Below are 22716 nucleotides of genomic sequence, written 5' to 3' on the forward strand. Positions count from 1 at the left end.
AGGCTGGCCTGACTTAAGAGGATTGAAGCATTTGCTAAATGAGACTGGGACAGGGTCAGAGAACTAGCTGTGGGAAGACACAGGGGCCAGGATGGCCACAAGGTGATGGCAGAAGAAGCAGGAGAGGAGAGGACAGAGGCAAAGGGTGGCATGCTATTGGTGCAAGGATATAGAGACCAAGAACCCAATAGAGACTTTCCGTAGAGCCAGTCATTGTGGCTCACACCCGTAATCCCAGCAATTTGGGAGGCCAAGGTGGGAGGATCACTTGAACCAGGAATTCAAGACCAGCCTGGGCAACATGGTGAGACCTTGTTTCTGCAAAAAGTAAAAGGAAATTAGCCAGGCATGGTGGTGTGTGCCTGTGGTCCCAGCTACTCAGAAGGCTGAGGTGGGAGGATCAGTTGAGCCTGGGAGGTTGAGGTTGTAGTGAGCTGTGATTGTGTCACTGCACTCTAGCCTGGGCAACAGAGTAAGATACTGTCTCAAAAAAAAAAAAAAAAAAAAAAAAAAGCCAGGTGTGGTGACACATACCTGTAATCCCAGCACTTTGGGAGACTGAGGCTAGCGGATCAATGAGGCCAGGAGTTCAAGACCAACGTAGCCAACATGGCTAAACCCTGTCTCTACTAAAAATACAAAAAATTAGCTGGGCATGGTGGTGCACGCCTGTAAAACCAGCTACTCAGGATGCTGAGGCATGAGAATCACTTGAACCTGGGAGGCAGTGGTTGCAGTGAGCTGAGATGATGCCATTGCACTCCAGCCTGGGCAACAGAGTGAAACTGTCTCCAAAAAAAAAAACAAAAAATAAAATACAAAAAAGTTTGTAGATACAGACTCATACATTAATGAACCCTTGATTTATGACAAAATACAAAATAAATTGCAAGCTTCTCAATAAATTGACAATTAGAAATCCATGAGAAAAGAAAAATCCTTACCTCACACCATAAACAGTCAATTATACATGTATTAAAGACCTAAATATGAAAGGTAAAACTATAAAAATTTAGAGAAAAAAATGGAATACCTTCATCATCATGTGATAATGCAAGATTTCTTTTTTTCCTGCTGTTTACCTGATCTTGGGGAAAGTTTTTTTTTTTTTTTTTTGGAGATGGAGTCTCACTCTGTCACCCAGGCTGGAGTGCAGTGGCACGATCTCGGCTCACCGCAACCTCCGCCTCCTGGGTTCAAGCGATTCTTCTGCCTCAGCCTCCTGAGTAGCTGGGATTACAGGCATGTGCCATCACACCCGGCTAATTTTTGTACTTTTAGTAGAGGTGGGGTTTCACCATGTTGGCCAGGCTGGTCTCAAACTCCTGGCCTCAGGTGATCCACCCTCCTCGGCCTCCCAAAGTGCTGGGATTACAGGCGTGAGCCACTGTGCCCGGCCTGGAGAAAGACATTTTAGACAAGCTATTAAAAAAAAAAAAAAGCATTACTCTTAGAAGGCAAAAGTGAGAAAATGTAGCAATTTTCGAAGCAGTAAGCTGGACACCTCAGACTGGTGCCACCTGTGGGCTTTGTCTCCAATTAGTAACAATTAGTAACAGAGGACTTTTAGAAACACCAGCTTTTAGAAGTTTTTCTGTCAATTTGAAAATACAGATATATTGAGATATTTTGTAAAAGTCATTTTATTTTATTTGATTATTTTATATTTTTTAGACAAGGTCTCAGTCTGTACTCCAGGCTGGAGTACAGTGATACGATCTCAGCTCACTGCAACATCCACCTCCTAGGTTCAAGTGATTCTCCTGCTTTAGCCTCCCAAGTAGCTGGGACTACAGGCACCTGCCAGCATGCCCGGCTAATTTTTGTATTATTATTATTTTTTTAGTGAAGATGGGGTTTCACCATGTTGGCCAGGCTGGTCTCAAACTCTTAACTTCAAGTGATCCACCTGTTTTGGCCTCCCAAAGTGTTGGGATTACAGGCATGAGCCACCGTGCCTGGCCCATTTTAATTTTTATTAATAACTTCATTGTGTTTTACAACATTATCAGTCTGCCACTGATGGAAATGAAAAATAAAACAAGACAAAACTGGTCCAAAACAATAGGTAATTTGAAAAGCAGTGAAATAGACAACATTAAAATCAAGAAATACTAATGAAACAAAATGCAAATAGGAAAGGTGTCTGCAGAACTTTAATTGCCAAGAGAATATAAGAATACATTCAAATAAATGAAGGAAAAGGGGTAAACAAATACACATTATGAAGATATCTAAGGTTCAATTAACATGTGAGGGTTTAACTTCTCAATCATCAGGGAAATGGATATTACAACCACAACAAAACCACAAGTCATTGGATCGACAAACATTAAAAAGTCTCACAATCCTAAGTGTTGGGGAAGATGCTGACCATCAGAAGCCCTGGGAAAAGCCCTTTAGAAAGCTCTCGAGCAGCATCCACTAATGCCAGATATCCCAGTGAGCAGCGACTCCAATCCCAGCAGAGAAACGCTCAGGCTCAATTCAAATGACAGGCAGGCACATTCACAGCAGAGCCACCTGTGATAGCTGCACAGTGAAGACAGCAAATGTCCACCTGCAGCAGGGTGGGTAAAGGGTGATGCATTCACTGCAGAAAGTCACCAGCAGTGTAGATCAGCCACTCCAGGCCCTCTGGGATCTGAAGAACTTTGCAGGCACAGGCCCCCTATAAATCCAGTAATAACCTGGGGCCTGAGTGATTTTCATTCACAGAGCCACCCTCCTCTTGGGGCTGAGACCCTGAGTGTTTTTTGCCCATAGAGTCATCCCCTTCTTGGTACTGAGAGGTCATGGTGGAGACTGAGGATCCCTCCAAGGGGTCTAGGGGTAGGAGCAGCTCTGTGAAGTGAGGGAATAACTGGGTGTCTGGCAAGAAGTCGGAGGCATCGGGGCTCTGAGGCCATAAGGGGGCTGGGGCTGGGAGTGATCCTGGGCCTGGGATTGGAGCTGGGACTGAGCCTGAGCCTGGGCCTGAGCCTGGGCCTAAAATCGGGGCTAGGCCTGGAAGTGAGCCAGGGCTTCGCATCCGGCCAGGACTTAAGATGGGACCTGGGCCTTGGAGTCTGCCTGGGCCTGGGATCTGGGCTGGGCTGGGAATCGGGCCTATAATTGGGCCTGGGCCTGAGATTGGGCCTGGGATTGGGCCTGGGATCAGGCCTGGGTTCGGGCCTGAGATTGGGCCTGGGATCGGGCCTGGGTTCGGGCCTGAGATTGGGCCTGGGATTGGGCCTGGGATCGGGCCTGGGTTTGGGCCTGAGATTGGGCCTGAGATTGGGCCTGGGATCGGGCCTGGGATCGGGACTGAGATTGGGCCTGGGATCGGGCCTGAGATTGGGCCTGGGATCGGGCCTGGGTTTGGGCCTGGGATCGGGCCTGGGTTTGGGCCTGAGAATGGGCCTGAGATTGGGCCTGGGATCGGGGCTGGGCCTGAAATTGGGCCTGGGATTGGGCCACGGAATGGGCCTGGGATCTGGACTGGGCCTGAAATTGGGCCTGGGATTGGGGCTGGGATCGGGCTTGGGATCTGAGCTGGGCCTGGAATTGGGCCTGGAATTGAGCCAGGGAGTGGGCCTGGGATCTGGGCTGGGCCTGGGATTGGGGCAGGGATCGGGCCAGGGCCTGGACTCAGGGCAGCTGGGATGCCCTTCTGGGCTCTGCACCCAGGGCCACCCCAGGCCTGGTGGAGGCTGCAGATCGTGGGTTCCGCCGCTGGAAGGATTCCCGAGGGGCCCCGCTGAGGTGCGGAGGCAGAGGCTGCAGGGACTAGGGGCGCAGCGCGGGCTCCTCGGCCTCTCTGCCCAGGGACGCGCTGGGGCTGCTGCTGGAGCCGCCGCTCCCGAGCTAGTTTGGCGCGGCGATTCTTGAACCACACCTGGGGGGCAGAGGGGACAGGGAGAAGGTGTGAAGGAGGGGCTCGCGCGGCCCAGTGAGCCTTTTGGGGTCGGGGCCAGCCTGAAGCCTCTCCCTGTGCTCAACAGCCCCCCATCCCCCACCCCACCAAAAGAGGGCCCCGGCTCCAAGGCCTGGAGAATGGAGGGAAGAGGGAGGGAAAAGTAGGGGGAGGAGGGTGGGGTGGGATGGGAGGAGCGGGGTCTGCCGCCCAGGTGCCCGGGGGGCCAGGGAGGGTTCGAGGGGAGGGACCGCGGGTTCTCACGGGTGCCTGAGGTCCGGGCACCGGGAGACCCCGTGGGGGACAGCCTGGGCCGATCATGTGGGCGAGTTTGGGCTAGCATAGAGTTGGAACAGGACTCAGGATGCAGCCCTGGTCTACACTGGCGGGACCCCTTGCGTGGCAGGGCGGGAGGTGGTCGGGCGGGCCAGGCCCCGGTGAGTGACAGCGGTGGGGAGGCTCCTTGGGGTGACTGGGGCGGGCAGGGTGGGGGTGGGGGTCAGACCTGCAGCTGTTGCTCCCTGAGGCTGAGCATCTCCGCCAGATTCAGTCGCTGGTCGTAGTTCGGGTACTGGTCCTTCTGAAAGTAAAATTCTAGCACTTTCTGCTGGCTTTCAGTGTAGACCGTGCGCTCCTGCCGCTGTCTCCTTGGAGGGTCCAGGGCCAGGGGAGGGCCTGGGGGTGGGAGGGAAACAGGTCACAGAAACCCCCAGGCAGCCCCCAGCCCCCCTAGGGACCCCGTCCCCTGCACCAGGCCAGGAGCCCAGGCAGTGTGGGCTGGGGCGGCACCGCGGATAGCAGCCTGGTATCCAGACCAGACCTTGCACCTCTCTGGGCCTCAGGGTCCACATCTAGGAAATAGGCGCGATAACAGCTCCTGGGAAGGCAGGCAGCGTAGGCGCCTCACCTCGGAGCAGACGGGGCTGCCTCAGGCCTGCTCAACCCTCCCCAGCTGCCCCGTCCCCTCCCATCCAAGGGTTATAGGGACCCTGACACTTGCAGGGGAGCCGCCACCTGCCCAGTCCTCTGCTCCACTCAACTGCATGGTTTAATTTCTTTCCTTCTTTCTTTTTCTTGGAGGGGATCTCGCTCTGTCACCCAGGCTGGAGTGCAGTGATGTGATCACGGCTCAAGTCAGCCTCCACTTCCTGGGCTCAAGGAACCCCCCGCCTTAGTCTCCCGAGTAGCTGGGACCACAGGTGTGCACCACGACCCCTGGGTAATTTTTGTATTTTTGCTAAAGACGGGTCTCCACTATGTTGGCTCGGCTGGTTTCAGAGTCCCGGGCTCAAGTGATCCTCCCACCTTGGCTTCCCAAAGAGCTGGGATCACAGGCGTGAGACGCTACACCCAGCTGCATGATTTTTCATTTCCCAGACACCACTAAGTTCTCCCCCGTCTGCAGGACAGGAAGCCGCCCGCACAGGCCCAGCCCTTCTCTGGCTGCCCAGATTTGCACTCTGCAGCCTCAGCCACAGGATCAGCCCAGACCCCTCACACCTCTGTCCCCGCTCACCTTGGAGATGACCAGGGTCTTGCATCCTGAGTCCTGATCTGTTCCCAAACACAAGTGTGTACTGACAAGGGCTTGGCTCTTAAATCACTTCTCTGCTGTGCCCACCCTGGCCCACCCTGCCGGGACCCTCCCTTTCCCACCCTGCCCTGCAGTCCCGCCCCCTGGAGGAGTTGAATGATGGATTAATCCTTCATCACTGATCAGGTACTGCCTGCTGAGCTGTGCTAGGAGCTGGAGAACCTCAGTGGACAACACAGCCTTGGTTTCACCCTCATGGGCCCTAGCCCAGGTGAGGTGGCATTCCATGCGGGTTTGGTTGGGGGAGTCAACATCGTGACCTGTGGTTGGGGTCCCCATCTCAGGAGAGGCACCGCCAGCCAGCCCCCAGGAGTCATCCTTGTTCCTTCCCAGGGCTGGGGCCCCGAGTGACCAATGCCGGTGAGTCTACCCACTCCTCCTGGCTCCTGGGCTGCCTGCCTTGTCCAGCCACTATCCCTCCTTCCTGGATGACCTTGCAACCTCCTCTTTGGTACCTCAAGGCCACTCTGGCCCCTACTATCCATTCCAAAAATTGCTCCCTAGGTGCCTATAGGTGTAAGCAGAGCTTAGTACACATTGGCCCTGCTGATAATGGTTTGGTTTCTGTAGTGGATTTGCCTATGGGGTGAAGTTCTGATAGGCATTCACATAGACCTCTGTTGGTTTCTCCTGGAGAGTAAATGACCTCAGTGCTGGTTTATTCCAGTTTATATACGGGGCTCGTGTGCTGGGTTCACATGAGCCCAGCCTCTCCAAGCTGCATAGACCTGTATCAGGAGGGGGCACAGGTCTGATGGACGTGCCCATGGACCGCTGCTGGTCTGCCCTTGTGAGTGAATGAACCTACTGCTGATGATACAGGGGACCCATGACCTTGGTCTACAGAGATCGGATCCCTCAGAGATGCGTCTTCTCTGTCAGACACCTGGCTGTCCTCATTTCCCCATGGCAGGACCCACGTGGGTTCAGGGATTAGAGAGATTGACAAGGCTCATGGTGCAGGGAACTAGAAATGACTCATGCAATCAATTTCAAAATTCAATAAAACGTAGACATTGTTACCACGGGCCTCGCTCATTGTTTTCACCTGCTACTTAGAGTTCTGCTGTAGAAAGCAGCATCCCCAGCAATGATTCCTCATCGCACACATTGTCCGGCTTCATCTACAGGACATGCTGGGAACACAGTAGTGACCACAGAGATTTTGCACCATGGCTATTTATTTGGTCAATAAAGACATAAACAGATGAACAAGCTCACTGGTACTATTTTGTGAAAATAGACATTTAAATATAAGCAAGTTCACGGCAGCATGATTCACTATCGCCCAAAAGGAGAAAATGCTGAAAACATCGATCCACTGATGCATGGATAAATAAAATGCTGCATGGCCAGGCGCGGTGGCTCACGCCTGTAATCCCAGCACTTTGGGAGGCTGAGGCAGGCAGATCACCTGAGGTCAGGAGTTTAAGACCAGCCTGGCCAACATGGCGAAACCCTGTCTACTAAAAATACAAAAATTAGCTGGGCGTGGTGGCCAGCACCTGAATTTCAGCTACTTGGGAGGCTGAGGCGGGGGAATTGGTTGAACCCGGGAGGCGGAGGCTACAGGGAGTGGAGATTGTGCCACTGTACTCCAGCCTGGGCAACAGAGTGAGACTCCATCTCAAAATAAATAAAAGTGGCTGGGCACGGTGGCTCACGCCTGTAATCCCAGCACTTTGGGAGGCTGAGGTGGACGAATCACTTGAGGTCAGGAGTTTGAGGCCAGCTTGGTCGACATGGTGAAAATCCGTCTCTACTAAAAATACAAAAAATTAGCCAAGCATGGTGGCGGGAGCCTGTAATCCCAGCTACTTGTTAGGCTGAGGTAGGAGAATCACTTGAACCCGGGAGGCAGAGGTTGCAGGGAGCTGAGATGGTGCCACTGAACTCCAGCCTGGGTGACAGAGGGAGACTCTGCCTCAAAAAACAAAACAACATCCCCCAAAAAAACCCACAAAAAATAGAAACCCAAAATGTCATATATTTACACAATGGGATATTACTCAACCATGAAAAGGAATAAAGCTCTGATACGTGCTACAACATGGATGAACCTTGCCAACATGATGCCGAGTGAAAGACGCCAGACTCAAAAGCACATATACGATTCTATTTATACAAAGTGTCCAGAATAGGCAAATCCATAGAGACAGAAAGCAGATTAGTGGTTGCTACGGGTTGGGGAGAAGGGAAAATTGGGACCAACTGGGAATAGCTATGGAGATAGCTATTGGGGACGGTGAAAAATGTTCTAAAATTGACTGTAGTGAAGGAGGCACAACTCTGCAAACAGACTAAAGACGATTTAATTTTTTTTTTTTGAGATGGCGTCTTGCCCTGTCACCCAGGCTGGAGTGCAGTAGTGGTGTGATCTCGGCTTGCTGCAACCTCCATCTCCCGGGTTCAAGTGATACTCCTGCCTCAGTCGCCCAAGTAGCTGGGATTACAGGCATGCACCACCACGCCCAGCTAACTTTTTGTATTTTTAGTAGAGAATGGGTTTCACCATGTTGGCCAGGCTGGCCTCGAATGCCTGACCTCAAGTGATCCACCCATCTCGGCCTCCCAAAGTGCTGGGATTACAGGTGTGAAACACCGCGCCCGGCCAAAACCATTTCATTTTGTACTTTATGATTATTCTTTTCTTTTTGTTTTGCCGTGTTGCCCAGTCTCGTCTCGAACTCCTGAGTTTAAACAACCAGCCCACCTTGCCTCCCAAAGTACTGATATTACAGGCGTGAACCAGCGTGCCCGGCCTGAATTGTATACTTTATTTAATTAAATTTATTTATGTATTTGTTTTGAGACAGAGTCTCTGTTGCCCAGGCTGCAGTGCAGTGGATTGATCTCAGCTCTGCCTCCTGGGTTCAAGTGATTCTCATGCCTCAGCCTCCTGAGTAGCTGGGATTACAGGTGTGTGTTACCACACCCAGTAAAAAATTTTTTCTATTTTTAGTAGAGATGGGGTTTCACCATGTTAGCCAGGCTAGTCTCGAACTCCTGGCCTCAAGTAATTCGCTCTCCTTAGCTTCTCAAAGTGCTGGGATTACAGGCATGAACCATGGCACCCAGCCCTGAATTGTATACTTTAAGTGGGTACTTTTATATTACGTGGATGACATATCAATAAAAAATATAAATTAATGCAAAACTCAGCATATTGCCCTGTGGATTGGCCAAGATCAAAGAGATGGATCAAGTGTAGACCCAGAGAATGTGGTTTTCTCTTGCCATTGATGAAGTGTAGGTTGGTAAAATATTTTTGGAGGTTTTTTTTTGAAATTGACTCTGTGACATCTATTAAAGGATGAAATGTGTATAGTACCCTTTGACTCAATGATTTTTTTTGAGACAGGGTCTTGCTCTGTTGCCCAGATTGGAGTGCAGTGGAGTCAATCGAAACTCACTGCAACCTCGAACTCTGGGGTTTAAGCGATCCTGCAACCTCAGCCTCCTGAGTAGGTGGGACTACAGGCAAGTACCACCATGTCCGGGTAATTTTCTTATTTTATTTTATTTTCTTTATTTGTTTTGAGATGGAATTTCACTCTTCTTGCCCAGGCTGGAGTGCAATGGCGCGATCTCAGCTCACTGCAACCTCCGCCTCCCAGGTTCAAGCAATTCTCCTGCCTCAGCCTCCTGAGTAGCTGGGATTACAGGCACCCACCATGATGTCTGGCTAATTTTTGTATTTTTAGTAGAGACGGGGTTTCACTGTGTTGTCCAGGCTGGTCTTGAACTCCTGACCTCAGGTGATCCACCCGCCTCAGCCTCCCAAAGTTCTGGGATTACAGGTGTGAGCCACCATGCCTGGCCAATTTTCTTATTTTATTTATTTATTTATTGAGACCGAGTCTCGATCTGTCACCCAGACTAAAGTGCAGTGGCTCTGCACTTTAATGCAGATATCGGCTCACTGCAACCTCTGCCTCCTGGGTTCAAGTGATTCTCCTGCCTTCCGAGTAGCTGGGACTACAGGCGCCTGCCACCACATCTGGCTAATTTTTAAATTTTTATTTAATTTTTATTTTATTTTTAGTAGAGATGGGGTTTCACCATGTTGGCCAGGCTGGTCTTGAACTCCTGACCTCAAGTGATCCGCGCACCTTGGCCTCCCAAAATGCTGGGATTACAGGTGTGAGCCACCGTGCCTGGCCTCAATGTTTTATTGTAAGAGACTTATCCTGGGAAAATACTTGCTCCGCTGTGAATAAGCGCAGATATCAGTGTTCAGTGTAACATTTCTTTGAAATATCAACTGAGTTAATTGGATTAATTCACGCCCACAAATTAGAAGATGATTAATTTGTGGCAGCCTCAGACTATGGAATGCTAATGAAAGTTTAAGAAAGGGATGAAGTGGTAACCAATTAGTAAGAAATGATGATCTTTAATGTATTTGTTGTTTTGTTTGCCTGGTGGATGTCTGCTTGCTGTTTGCTGAAATAAATGTGTCTTGAACACAGAGACTTTGTTGGGCTTTTTTTTCCCTCCCAAATCCCCATGTCTGTAATAGGAAAAGCTCAAAGGTGCTGAGTAATAATGTACTAAATGATTGAGTTTGTGTTTTCCATATCAAATGCTGTCTCAGGCACATTGTTTATTTTGAAGAATGTACACATTTAATAAGCACATACAAAAAATATATATTATACATATACATATTCTTTTTTCTTTTCTTTTTCTTTCCTTTTTTTTTGGAGACAGGGTCTCTCTCTATCACCCAGGCTGCGTTGCACTGTCATGATCTCGGCTCACTGCAACCTCTCCCTCCTTGGCTCAAGCCATTCTCCCACCTCAGCCTCCCAAGTAGCTGAGAGGACAGGCGCATGTGCCACCACATCTGGCTAATTTTTGTATTTTTTGTAGAGACGGGGTTTTGCCATGTTACCCAGGCTGACCTCTAACTCCTGACCTCAAGTGATCCATCCATGTTGGCCTCCCAAAGTGCTGAGATTACGGGTGTGAGCACAATATATTTGAATGAACAATAAATAACAACAAAGATAAAAACTCCTGCAAAAGTAATTACCCAGAGATGACGCGGAATGTCTATTTTCTCTATTTCCTGCTGTTTATAATTATTATTTTTTAATGGACAACCTGGAAAACAAGAAGCATTTCTGGCCTTGAATGCCACCCTAGGACTCGTCAACACCCTGCCCACAGAAGTCCCCATGCCTTTTCTCGTCCTGATGTGTCTTCAGGGTTGGATGGAATTTCTGGAGATTCCTCCTGGGGCTCCCCAGGCAATGGCCAAATTCCTAGAGTCAGGTGGATGGAGGGAGGTCTTCTGAAGCCTGGGGCAAGAGTGATGTAAGTGGGAATGAAGTCGGTGGAAAAGTGTGAAGAAGGGATTATGAAATCCATTCTTGGCCAGACGCAATGACTCACACCTGTAATCCCAGCACTTTGGGAGGCCGAGGTGGGCGGATCACCTGAGGTCAGGAGTTCAAGATCAGCCTGGCCAACATGGCGAAACCCTGTCTCTACTAGAAATACAAAAATGAGCTGGGTGTGGTGGAGGGCGCCTGTAATCCCAGCTACTTGGGAGGCTGAGTTAGGAGAATCACTTGAACCCCTGAGGCAGAGGTTGCCGTGAGCTGAGATTGTGCCACTGCACTCCAGCCCCGGCGACAGAGTGAGACTCCATCTCAAAAAAAAAAAAAAAAAAAAAAAAAAATCTATTCTTATTTGATTCCTTCAGAACAGAAACAGAAACAATGGCTCTCTCCTTATCCATCAATTTTTTTTTTTTTTTTTTTTTTGAGACAGAGTCTCGCTCTGTCGCCCAGGCTGGAGTGCAGTGGCCGGATCTTGGCTCACTGCAACCTCTGCCTCTCAGGTTCAAACCCTTCTCCTGCCTCAGCCTCCTGAGTAGCTGGGATTACAGGCGCCCACCACCACGCCCGGCTAATTTTTGTATTTTCAGTAGAGACAGCATTTCACCATATTGGCCAGACTGGTCTTGAACTCCTGACCCTGTGGTCTGCCCGCCTCAGCCTCCCAAAGTGCTGGGATTACAGGCGCGTCCAGCCTTCCATCAATTCTTCAATCTCCTCTTTTACCCTATGCCTGTGGGCTCTGATGGGGTTGACCTCTTGGTGGGGTTGACTCATCTTTGCTCCTGCCCCCAAGAGGCCCACAGACACCTCCCCATCCTCTGCATTGTGAGGGTATCTCTTGGTGCAGGGGGAGGGGGTTCAGGAGGGGCACATGGGCAACAAGGAGTTGTTTGGGCTTTGAAGACAATATTGGGGCAGATCAGAGTGGGGGTGACAAAGGCATGAGGTTGGCCTTTGCTTTCTAGAATCTTGTTGTTCAATGTCTTTCTGACATTGGGGTTCCTCTCGGTGTCTGGACATTCATTCTTGAAACACTGTCCTTGCTCTCTGTTTTTTTTTTTTTTTAATTTTATTTTTTGAGACAGGATCTCTCTCTGTCACCCAGGCTGGACCGCAGTGGAGTGATCTCAGGTCACTGCAACTTCTGCCTCCCGGGTTCAAGGGATTCTCCTTCCTCAGCCTCCAGAGTAGCTGGGATTACAGGCGCCCGCCACCATGCTTGGCTAATTTTTGTATTTTTAGTAGAGACAGGGTTTCACCATGTTGGCCAGGATGGTCTCAAACTCCTGACCTCAGGTGGTCAGCCCTCCTCAGCCTCCCACAGTGCTAAAATTACAGGTGTGAGCCACCGCACCTGGCCGGCCCTGAGTTTAATTTGAATGAATCAACAACATATATTCAATAAGGTGTCTTTAAACCGAAACACGCATGAACCAGGGTGAGGTATTGATCGATTGATGACAATAGTGTGAGCAGAGCCTTGTGGGACCCCAAATCTGTATTTCCCCTGGGAGCAGGGGTTCCTTATTGGCTGAGACCATGTTCATGGCAACTTTTTTTTTTTTTTTTTTTTGAGACAGCGTCTCACTCTGTTGCCCCGGCTAGAGTACAGTGGCGCGATCTCGGCTCACTGCAACCTCCGCCTCCCGGATTCAAGCGATTCTCCTGCCTCAGCCTCCTGAGTAGCTGGGACTACAGTCATGCGCCACCACGCCCAGCTAATTTTTGTATTTATAGTAGAGATGGGGTTTCACCATATTGGCCAGGCTGGTCTCGAACTTCTGACCTCGTGATCCGCCCACCTCAGCCTCCCAAAGTGCTGGGATTACAGGCGTGAGCCACCGCGCCCGGCTAATGGCAACTTCACAGAACATAACAAGTAAGAATGAGGAGAACTGCCTGTATTTATTTATTTTTAATTTCTTTTATATATATTTTTTGAGACGGAGTTTCGCTCTTGTTGCCCAGGCTGGAGTGCAATGGTGCAATCTCAGCTCCCTGCAACCTCTGCCTCCTGGGCTCAAGCAATTCTCCTGCCTCAGCCTCCCAAGTAGCTGGGATTACAGGCACCTGCCACCACGCCCGGCTAATTTTGTATTTTTAGTAGAGATGGAGTTTCTCCATGTTGGTCAGGCTGGTCTTGAACTCCTGACCTCAGGTGATCCGCCCACCTCGGCCTCCCAATGTGCTGGGATTACAGGAGTGAGCCACCCGTGCCCGGCCTGAGAACTGTCTGTATTTATTAAGTGCTCAGTACATTCAAGGGACTGATCTAGGCACCTCCAGAGAGTTAACGGGTGCAGTCCTTGTTCTCAGGGAACTCGTTGTTCAAGTGGGGGAAGGCAGGCGTTACTCAAAGAATCACAGAATAGGCTGGGCGCTATGGCTCATGCCTGTAATCCCAGCACCTTGGGAGGCTGAGGTGGGTGGATTGCTTGAGGCCAGGAGTTCGAGACCAGCCTGGGCAACATAGCGAGATCTTGTCTCTCTTAAAAAATATAAAGAAATGGCCAACCATGGTGGCTCATGCCTGTAATCCCAGCACTTTGGGAGGCCGAGTCAGGAGGATCAATTGAGGTGAGGGGTTCGAGACCGGCCTGGCCAATATGGTGAAACTCTGTCTCTACTAAAAGTACAAAAAATTAGTCGGGCATGGTGGTGTGTGCCTGTAGTCCCAGCTACTTGGGAGGCTGAGGCAGGAGAATCGCTTGAACCCAGGAGGGGAGATTGCAGTGAGCCAAGATCACACTGAGACAGAAATTAAAAGAGAGAAACAGAATAAAGCAAAGGTTAAGTGAGAAACACTGCACTTCATCCTGGGCCACAGAGTGAGACTCCATCTCAAAAAAACCCCCCAAAACCAAAAACTAAACAAAAAAAGCCTGGGCCTGGTGGCTCACGCCTGTAATCCTAGCGCTTTGGGAGGCCGAGGCGGGTGGATCACTTGAGGTCAGGAGTTCAAGACCAGTCTGGCCAACATGGTGAAACCCCGTCTGTACTAAAAATACAAAAAATTAGCCAGGTATGGTGGCACGCGCCTGTAATCCTAGCTACTCAGGAGGTTGAAGCAGGAGAATCGCTTGAACCCAGGAGGTGGAGGTTACAGTGAGATGAGCTCACACCACTGCACTCCAGCCTGGGCGACAGAGTGAGACTGTGTCTCAAAAATAAATAAATAAATAAATAAATAAATAAATAATAATAAATAAAACAACCCCCCCCACCCCGCCAAAATTAGCCAGGCGGAGTGGCGTGCTCCTGTAGTCCCAGCTACTTGGGAGGCTGAGGTGGGAGGATCGCTGGAGTCTGGGAGGTTGAGGCTGCAATGAGCAGTGATTCCCCGACCTGCACTCCAGCCTGGGCAACAGGGTGAGACCCTGTCTCAACAAACAAACAACAAACAAAACTCCCCAAAAGCCCACGACCCCCCCAAAACACACAAAAAACAAAAAGCCACATGCCAAGAATTAATAAGTAACTCTGGATGAGGGAATCGGGTCCTTGTAGAGAGGGGAGTTGTTCCAGAATTGCAGGTGGAGGCACTAGGCACTCCGGTGACCGTGGCGGCGAGAGTCAAGCTGGGAAGACACTTTCCAGGCGCGGGGAGCAAGATCTCTCAGCCTCCAGGTGCCCTCTCTGCCCCTTGGCATTCCCCCACCCTGCCCCTCTGTCTCCCCCTTTCTCTGTTCCTCAGTTTCCCCTCCTCGTTGTCCCTTGTGGGGTCCCAGTGTGTGAGTTGCTTTGTGTCTACCCCCTTCCAGGGTCTGACAAGCAGAAGGAGTTTTCATTATATCCTGGCAGTCTGTCCCCCAACCCCCAAATCGGATCTAATTCTGCTCTGCTGAGGCTGGCCTGGCCTGGCCTAAGAGGATTGGAACATTTGCTAAATGGGACTAGGACAGGGTGAGAGAGGCGTCGCTGGGGAGACCCAGGTGCCAGGACGGCCACCAGGGGGCGGCAGAGGACGAGGGAGACCAGAAGACAGAGGGGACAGAGAAGGGCGTGGTGGGGGCGGGGTGGGGGTGGGGTGGGGAGAGGCAGGGAGTGGATACAGGCATATTCCCTGGCTGTTTAGGGAACCACATTTAAGGGGTTAGAAGGGTGCCAACATTGCTGATTTTTTTTTTTTTTGAGACAGAGTCCTGCTCTGTCAGCCAGGCTGGAGTGCAGTGGTGTGATCTCGGCTGACTGAAACCTCTGCCTCCTGGGTTCAAAGGATTCTCCTGTCTCAGCCTCCCAATAGCTGGGAATACAGGCACCCACCACTACGCAGAGCATATTTTCGTATTTCAGTAGAGGCGGGGTTTCACCGTGTTGGCCAGGCTGGTCTCGAACTCCTGAACTTAAGTGATCTGTTCACCTCGACCTCCCAAAGTGTTGGGATTACAGGTGTGAGCCACAGTGCCCAGTCAACATTGTTGATTTTTAAGGTTTATTATGCGCTGTGGCTCACGCCTGTAATCCCAGCACTTTGGGAAGCTAAAGCAGGAGGATCATTTGAGCCCAGGAGCTTGAGACCAGCCTAGGCAACATAGCGAGACCCTGTCTTAAAAAATAAGAATAAAGTTTATCATTAACCTCTACCCTGACTTTCTACTCACTCTCCCCTCTCTGTTCCTTTAGGGATAATGGGGGCCTGGAGAGTGGGAAGGGGAGTGCAAGCATGGGGGTCTGGAGGTGTCTGATCAACGACCTCAGAGATGACCTGAGGTTTCCTGAGCTGGGAATGTTTTGGAAGGGTCTGAACTGCAAGGAATCTTTGCAGAGTCCTGGGGTCTACCTCTGATGTGAAGCATCTTGCATTTTGGAGCTGTCCAAGTAAAACATGAAAAAGAATTTGATACAGAATTAAAAATACATTTTTGTTTTTTCTGAGACTGAGTTTCGCTCTTGTCGCCCAGGCTGGAGTGCAATGGTGTGATCTTGGCTCACTGCAACCTCTGCCTCCTGGACTCAAGCAATTCTCCTGCCTCAGCCTCCCAAGTAGCTGGGATTACAGGCATGTGCCACCATGCCTGGCTAATTTTGTATTTTTAGCAGAGAGGGAGTTTCACTATGTTGGCCAGGCTGGCCTTGAACTCCTGACCACAAGTGATCTGCCCGTCTTGGCCTCCCAAAGTGCTGGGATTACAGGTGTGAGTCATTGTGCTTAGCTCAATAAATAGATAAATTATATATATATATATATATATATATATATGCAAATATATATATATATATTTTTTTTTTTTGAGACAGTCTTGCTATGTTGCCTAGGCTGGAGTGCAGTGGTGTGAGTTCGGCTCACTGCAACCTCCGCCTCCCGGGTTCAAGCGATTGTCCTGCCTCAGCCTCCTGAGTAGTTGGGATTACAGGCGTGCAACACCATGCCCGGCTAAGTTTTGTAGTTTTAGTAGAGATGGGTTTTTACCATGTTGGTCAGGCTGGTCTCGAACTCCTGACCTCGTGATCCACCCACCTTGGCCTCCCAAAGTGCTGGGATTACAGGCATGAGCCACCGCACCTGGCTCAAAGAATACTTTAAGTAAAATTCAAAATCTTCAAAAGTGTTTTTAAAATTCCACGCTTTTAATTTCTACTTCATGCCAGGCCCAGTGGCTCATGCCTGTAATCCCAGCACTTTGGGAGGCCCAGGCAGGAGGATCACTTGAGATCAGGAGGTTGAGACCAGCCTGGGCAACATAATGAGACCCCCGTCTCTACAAAAAAAAAAAAAAAAAAAAGCAGGTGTGGTGGTGTGCACCTGTAGTTCCAGCTACTCAGGAGGCTGAGACGAGAGGATCATTTGAGCCCAGGAGGTTGAGGCTTCAGTCAGCCGAGATCACGTCACTGCACTTCAGCCTGGGCAACAGAGCAAGACCCTGTCTCAAAAAAAAAATGTAAAAGAAATAATTTCCAATACAGTAAGTAGCAATAGATATATAGTCAATATCAACAAAAGCTCTTTGAGCCTTCGGTTACTTTAAATTTCAAGAGCTGGAGAGGACCCTGGAGTGTTTCTTTGGGACTTGGGACAAGTCTTATTTAGACTCTGGGTCATGTGTAGCGGGGTAGTTGAGGGCACGGTTTTGAGAGGCAAACACGGCTGACCCAAATATTGTTTTTCTGTTTATTTATTTATATTTATATATATATTTTTGAGACAGGATCTTGCTCTGTTGCCCAGGCTGGCATGCAGTGGTGTGGTGAGTCTCGGCTCACTGCATCCTCCGCCTCGCGGGTTCAAGCAATTCTCATGCCTCAGCCTCCTGAGTAGCTGGGATTATAGGCGCACACCACCATACAGCTAATTTTTTGTATTTTTAGTAGAGACGGGGTTTTGCCATGTGGGCCAGGCTGGTCTTGAACTCCTGAGCTCAAGCGATCCTCCCACCTTGGCTTCCCAAAGTGCTGGGATTACAGGTGTGAACCACTGTGCCTGGCCTTCTTTTTAATTTTTTAAAATTATATTTTTTTGGCCTCCTTCCCCTCCTAATATATTTTATTTTGTAGAGATAGGGTCTCACTATGTTGCCCAGGCTGGCCTCAGTCTCTAATCCATAGCCTCAAATGATCCTCCTGCCTTGGCCTCCCAAACCCCTGGGAATTTTTTTTTTTTTTTTTTTTTGAGATGGAGTCTCACGCCGTCGCCCAGGCTGGAGTGCGGTGGCACAATCTCGGCTCACTGCAAGCAACGCCTCCCAGGTTCATGCCATTCTCCTACCTCAGCCTCCCGAGTAGCTGGGACTACAGGCGCCCGCCACCACGCCCGGCTATTTTTTGTATTTTTTAGTAGAGATGGGGTTTCACCATGTTAGCCAGGATGGTCTCGATCTCCTGACCTCGTGATCTGCCCGCCTTGGCCTCCCAAAGTGCTGGGATTACAGGCGTGAGCCACCACGCCCAGCCCACTGTGAGCTTTTCTTTTGCATTTCCCTGATGATCAATGAATGTGAGCCCAGTTTTATACACTGGTGGATTATTTGCTATTCTCACTTTTGAAATGCCTGTATAAGTCTTCTGCAACCTGGTTGAATATCAGGCATTGATGTTTTATGATCTCAAATGGTGGAACAAGGGAGATCAGTGTCCTTGCCCTGGGGATCAGCCTGGGAGGCCCAAGGCTAGTTCTCAGAGCTGTGGAGTTCGGCACCCACTGGGTCCCAGGTTCCCACCTGAGCAGTTGTTCTCACAGGTAAGGCCTGAATGCTCACAGCCACCTTGTGGTGCAGACACACAGATAACTCCATTCTACAGGCAGGGAGACTGAGCCTGGGAAGGAGGGAGGTGCCCACAGGTCCCAGCTTCTCACACACTGCATGAACCACAGACCTTGGGAACAAGATCTCAGGGAACAATAACTCCATGGAAACTTCCTCCCAGGCGGCTTCTGGTATCATCCCCACTTTACAGAGGAGGAAACTGAGGCTGAGAGAAGTGTAGTCTCCAGTTCTGTCTCCCACGTCAGCGGCAGAGCCAGAGCTGGGCCAGCACCTGCCCCGGAGCCTGTGCCCTCCTGATCACCAGGTGATATGGCCTCTTAGGATGCTCGCCACAGCCCCACGGAGCTCAGAGGTCCCTTTCTCAGAGGAGGAAACTGAGGCTGAGAGAGGTTTCGTCAATTTCCGAGGTCACACAGGTGATGAGTGGAAGAACCAGGGGTAGAATTTAAATCTCTTTGGCCCCCGAGCCCCGCTCTTCACCCCCGAGTCTGCCTGGGATTCCTAGAAGATGGATGAGGTCAGCTTCCTCCCCTGCTCCCATGGGATTCCCAGGGCTCATTGTGACAGCTTGTCACTGTATCCACTTTGCAGAGGAGGAAACTGAGGCCCAGGAGCCCATATGAAGGGCCCAAGGCCACGCAGTGAGAAAACAACAGGATTTAAACCCAAACTCATGTGGCTCCATGCCAGCTCTTGGCAAGACCCTCCCGACTCAGCCATGTTCAGGGCCCTCCCTTGTTGGCCCTGCCAGCCTCTCTCTGCCGCATCCGTAGGCTCCTCTGTCCAGTGAGGACAAGGAGCTGAGTGGATGCACCCACTACCAGGCATGGGACCTGGTAGAAGCAGGGATTCATGGCACAGTTAGAGCCTGAATGAATTAACTCAGGAACAATATGATCCCTGAAGCATCCAGAGATTCAAACACTAGTGGGCAGCCCCACAGTCTGACCTCACAGTGCTGCAATCACAGACCCTTGGTCCTTTTGGGAAAACATCACACCACTTCTCTGTGCCAGTGTCTCTACCTGGTTCTGCCCCACCATCCATCCATCCATCCATCCATCACCCATCCATCCATCCATCCATCCACCCATCCATCACCCATCCATCCATCCATCCATCCATCCATCCATCACCCATCCATCCATCCATCCACCCATCCATCACCCATCCATCCATCCATCCATCCATCCATCATCCATCCATCCATCCATCCATCCATCATCCATCACCCATCCATCCCTCCATCCATCCATCCATCCATCCATCCCTCCGTCCATCCATCCATCCATTTCTTTCACATTTATTGAACACACACTTACTGCTGTGTGTCTGGGACAGTCCTAGGTACTGGGAATACAGCTGAGAACAAGACAGACAGGGCCCCATCCTCCTGACAAGGGCAGACAAGAAACAAGATGTCAGTAAGAGTTTTGCAAAAGATTAAATAGGATGAATGTGTTAGGGAGCTAAGGGGGTGCAGGTATGAGGAGCACCCCCATCCTGCAGTAGAGCCTGGAGTGAAACTCATCAACAACCTGATCCAAGGATCCTCCAGTATTCCATACATCTTCAGACTGTCCCCAGAATTTAACCCCACTTTTTTTGTTTATTATACTTTAAGTTCTAGGGTACATGTGCACAACGTGCAGGTTTGTTACATATGGATACATGTGCCATGTTGGTTTGCTGCACCCATTAACTCATCATTTACATTAGGTATTTCTCCTAATGCTATTCCTCCCCCTGCCCCCCACCCCACAACAGGCCCCTGTGTGTGATGTTCCCCACCCTGTGTCCAAGTGTTCTCATTGTTCAATTCTCACCTATGAGCGAGAGCATGCGGTGTTTGGTTTTCTGTCCTTGTGATAGTTTGCTCAGAATGATGGTTTCCAGCTTCATCCATGTCCCTGCATAGGACATGAACTCATCCTTTTTTATGGCTGCATAGTATTCCATGGTGTATATGTGCCACATTTTCTTAATCCTTAACCCCACTTTTTCCAGCTGCAATCATGTGCATTACAATAAGTCTCAAAGTCAGGTAGCGTAAGTTCTCCAACTCGTTTTATTTTTCCAAGACTGCTTTGATTATTCTAGATCATTTATATTCCATAGCAACTTCAGAATCAGTTTGACAATCAATTTCTACAGAAAAATCCTGATGAGATTCTGATTGGGATTGCAGTAAATCTAAAGATTAGTTTGAGAAGAATTGACCTCTTAATAACATTGAGTCTTCTAAACCATGAACATGGTATAGTTCACTATTGACTTGAGTCTCCTTTAATTTCTTCCAGCAGTGCTTTATATTGTTTCAGTAGGATAATGATCTGATAGAAGAGATGACAGGACTTATGGATGGATTGGATGTAAGTGGTGAGGAGAAAGGGGTTAGGGGCCAGGCTGAGTGCCCAGATTTCTGCCTGAGCCACTGGGTGGAGATGAGAAGGAAAGCAAGTTGCCTCAGAAGACCTAGCTCAGAGAAGAAGTGCTTGGATTTGATTTCAGCTTACTTGATCCCAGGGCCATGTGCAGGACCAGCTGAAACCCACCTCTCTGTACCCCCACCCCTGGAAGGACTCTGGATCCAGGAGCCAACCAGTACCCAGATTCCCCAGGGCAGGTGATTTAAGAGTTGCTGACACCTTCTCTGTCCCGCTGGAAGTTATTTTCTCCTCCCTCTCCCTGTACAGCTGACCTTCCTTCCCTGCTGCAGGGCCAGGGGGTCTGTTCCAGGACTGGATTCTCCCATCAGGAGCCTCTGGACTGGTCGCCGAGGGTCAGACGGCCCCTCCCTCTCTTGCTGTCATCCCTGGCTCTTCAAGCTAATGAGACCTGTCCTGATTCCTCAGCCAGGCCTGTAGCCTTAATCTCTCCTAGCAGGGGGTTTGGGGGAGGGAGGAGGAGAAAGAAAGGGCCCCTTATGGCTGAGACACAATGACCCAGCCACAAGGAGGGATTACCGGGCGTGTGTGTGTGTGTGTGTGTGTGTGCTTGCGTGCGTGTTTGGGTGCACGGGGAAGTGAAACAGACCCGTGTGGGACCCAGGAGCTCAGGGACATATTAATATCTAGAGAGACAGACGAGAGGAGAGAGACACAAAGAGGGCCAGAGACCAGGAAAATCAGAAATACAGAGCAACAGAGGTACCAAGACAGGGAGAAGGACAGAAATGAAAGGAAATCCTCCCAGCTACTCGGGAGGCTGAGGCAGGAGAATTGCTTGAACCGGGGAGGTGGAGGTTGCAGTGAGCCGAGATGGTGCCACTGCACTCCAGCCTGGGTGACAGAGCAAGACTCTGTCTCCAAACAAAAACAAAACAAAACAGAAATGAAGGGCAATCCAGGGAGAGGGGAAGCAAGAATCAGAGAGAGAGAGAGAGAGAGAGAGAGACAGGGAAAAAGAGAAGGAGGAACAGAGATTGGAGCTGCAGAGGATAAGCGAGGACAGAGGGACAGAGATGAGGCTGGAGTTACAGGGACAGGTGGACAGGCAGAAAGACAGCAAAGGGAGGGACAGACAGACAGGAACAGAAGGACATGGAGGCTGAGGGAGAGGGGAGAAAGAGCAAGATAGACAGGGAGACACAGAGAAAAAGAATAAGAGAGACCAAGGGGATAATGCAGGTTTATCAACAGAGACAGGGACGGAGAGGAGCAGATGGAGAATGAAAGAGTGGTATTCAGGAAAGTAGGCAGAAATGCCACAGCCTAAGGCCCACAGGAAAAGAAACTGAGGTACAGAGAAGCCAGACAAAGACCAATGGTGTGTAGAGAGATGGTGAGTGCTGGGTTTGTTGGCTCACGCCTGCAATCCCAGCACTTTGGGAGGCCGAGGTGGGAGGATTGCTTGAGGCCAGGAGTTTGAAGCCAGCCTGGGCAACATAGAGCGACTCCATCTCTACGAAAATAAAAAAATTAGCTGGGCATCGTGGTATGTGCCTGTAAAGTCTCAGCTACTGGGGAGGCTGAGGAGGGAGGATCCCTTGAGCACAGGAGGTCAAGGCTGCAGTGAGCTGTGATCATGCCACTGCACTCCAGCCTGGGCGACAGAGTGAGACCCTGTCTCAACCAAAAAAAAAAAAAAGGAAAAAAAAAAGAAAAAAATCCCAAACCCCAAACTCCACCAAAAACAGAAAAACAAAACACCCTTTCTAATAAGTCTGCCTATTTTCAGTGCTGGAAGCAGCCCCTGCCACCTCCGCCCCCAAAAAGAGGAGAATATCATGTCTGACAACACAGAGACAGAGAGGCCACAGACAAGACTTGACCAAGTCAAAGAGAGAGAAACAGGGGAAACTGAGGCAGAAACCGAGACCAATGAGGCACTACAGAGATAAACTAGCTGTCGGACAGACTGTTGTGGAGAGAAAGGGGGACCCAGGAGAGGGATCCCGAAAGCTCCGTGCCTCTCTTTTTTCAGACGATCTCTCAGGACCATCTGACAGTGCTCTCCTTCCTCTTTGATGCCTCTCTCTTGGGATACTAGCTGAAGCTGGAGAGACACCAGTTAGACCTAAGGAAGGACTTCCCTGAGGAGTAGGGGCTTATGGTCACCGGCAGGAGCTGGGGCCTCCCTTCCCCATCAGCCCTAATTGCCAAGATGTCATGGGGGGAAGAGGAGGGGATTAAGCAGACGGGTGCCCCTCCCCCTCCCAGCCAATGTCACCTC

General features: G+C 50.2%; 1 protein-coding gene across 2 annotated transcripts; it reads right to left on the reverse strand.

Annotated features, from left to right (window-relative positions):
• Positions 1 to 2128: 2128 nt before the first annotated feature.
• On the reverse strand, positions 2129 to 19948 carry TPRX1 (tetrapeptide repeat homeobox 1). Of its 2 annotated transcripts, NM_198479.3 has the most exons (4): positions 19869 to 19948; positions 19365 to 19435; positions 4401 to 4570; positions 2129 to 3877 (listed from the first exon to the last, which is right to left on the reverse strand). In NM_198479.3, exons 1-4 carry the CDS (start codon positions 19946 to 19948, stop codon positions 2672 to 2674), a joined length of 1527 nt encoding a protein of 508 aa, NP_940881.3. In that variant the 3' UTR covers positions 2129 to 2671. The 2 variants fall into 2 exon arrangements, with proteins under 2 accessions (NP_940881.3, NP_001384275.1); NM_001397346.1 differs by lacking the exons at positions 19365 to 19435; positions 19869 to 19948 and adding an exon at positions 5412 to 5448.

This window comes from Homo sapiens, chromosome 19, assembly GCF_000001405.40.
Source record: "Homo sapiens chromosome 19, GRCh38.p14 Primary Assembly".
NCBI lineage: Eukaryota > Metazoa > Chordata > Mammalia > Primates > Hominidae > Homo > Homo sapiens.

Bases quoted from the DNA above. Each gene is read 5' to 3' on its own strand.
- TPRX1 (NM_198479.3), bottom strand. From the start codon at position 19,948: ATGGATGAAGCTGGAAACCATCATTCTGAGCAAACTATCACAAGGACA. The intron at 19,436-19,868 runs GTGAGAATTGAA...TGCCCTTGTCAG, and splicing joins CCGCATGCTCTCGCTCATAG to GAGGATGGGGCCCTGTCTGT. The intron at 4,571-19,364 runs GTAAGTGTGTGT...TCCCACCCCCAG, and splicing joins ACTGTCCCAGACACACAGCA to GCCCTCCCCTGGCCCTGGAC.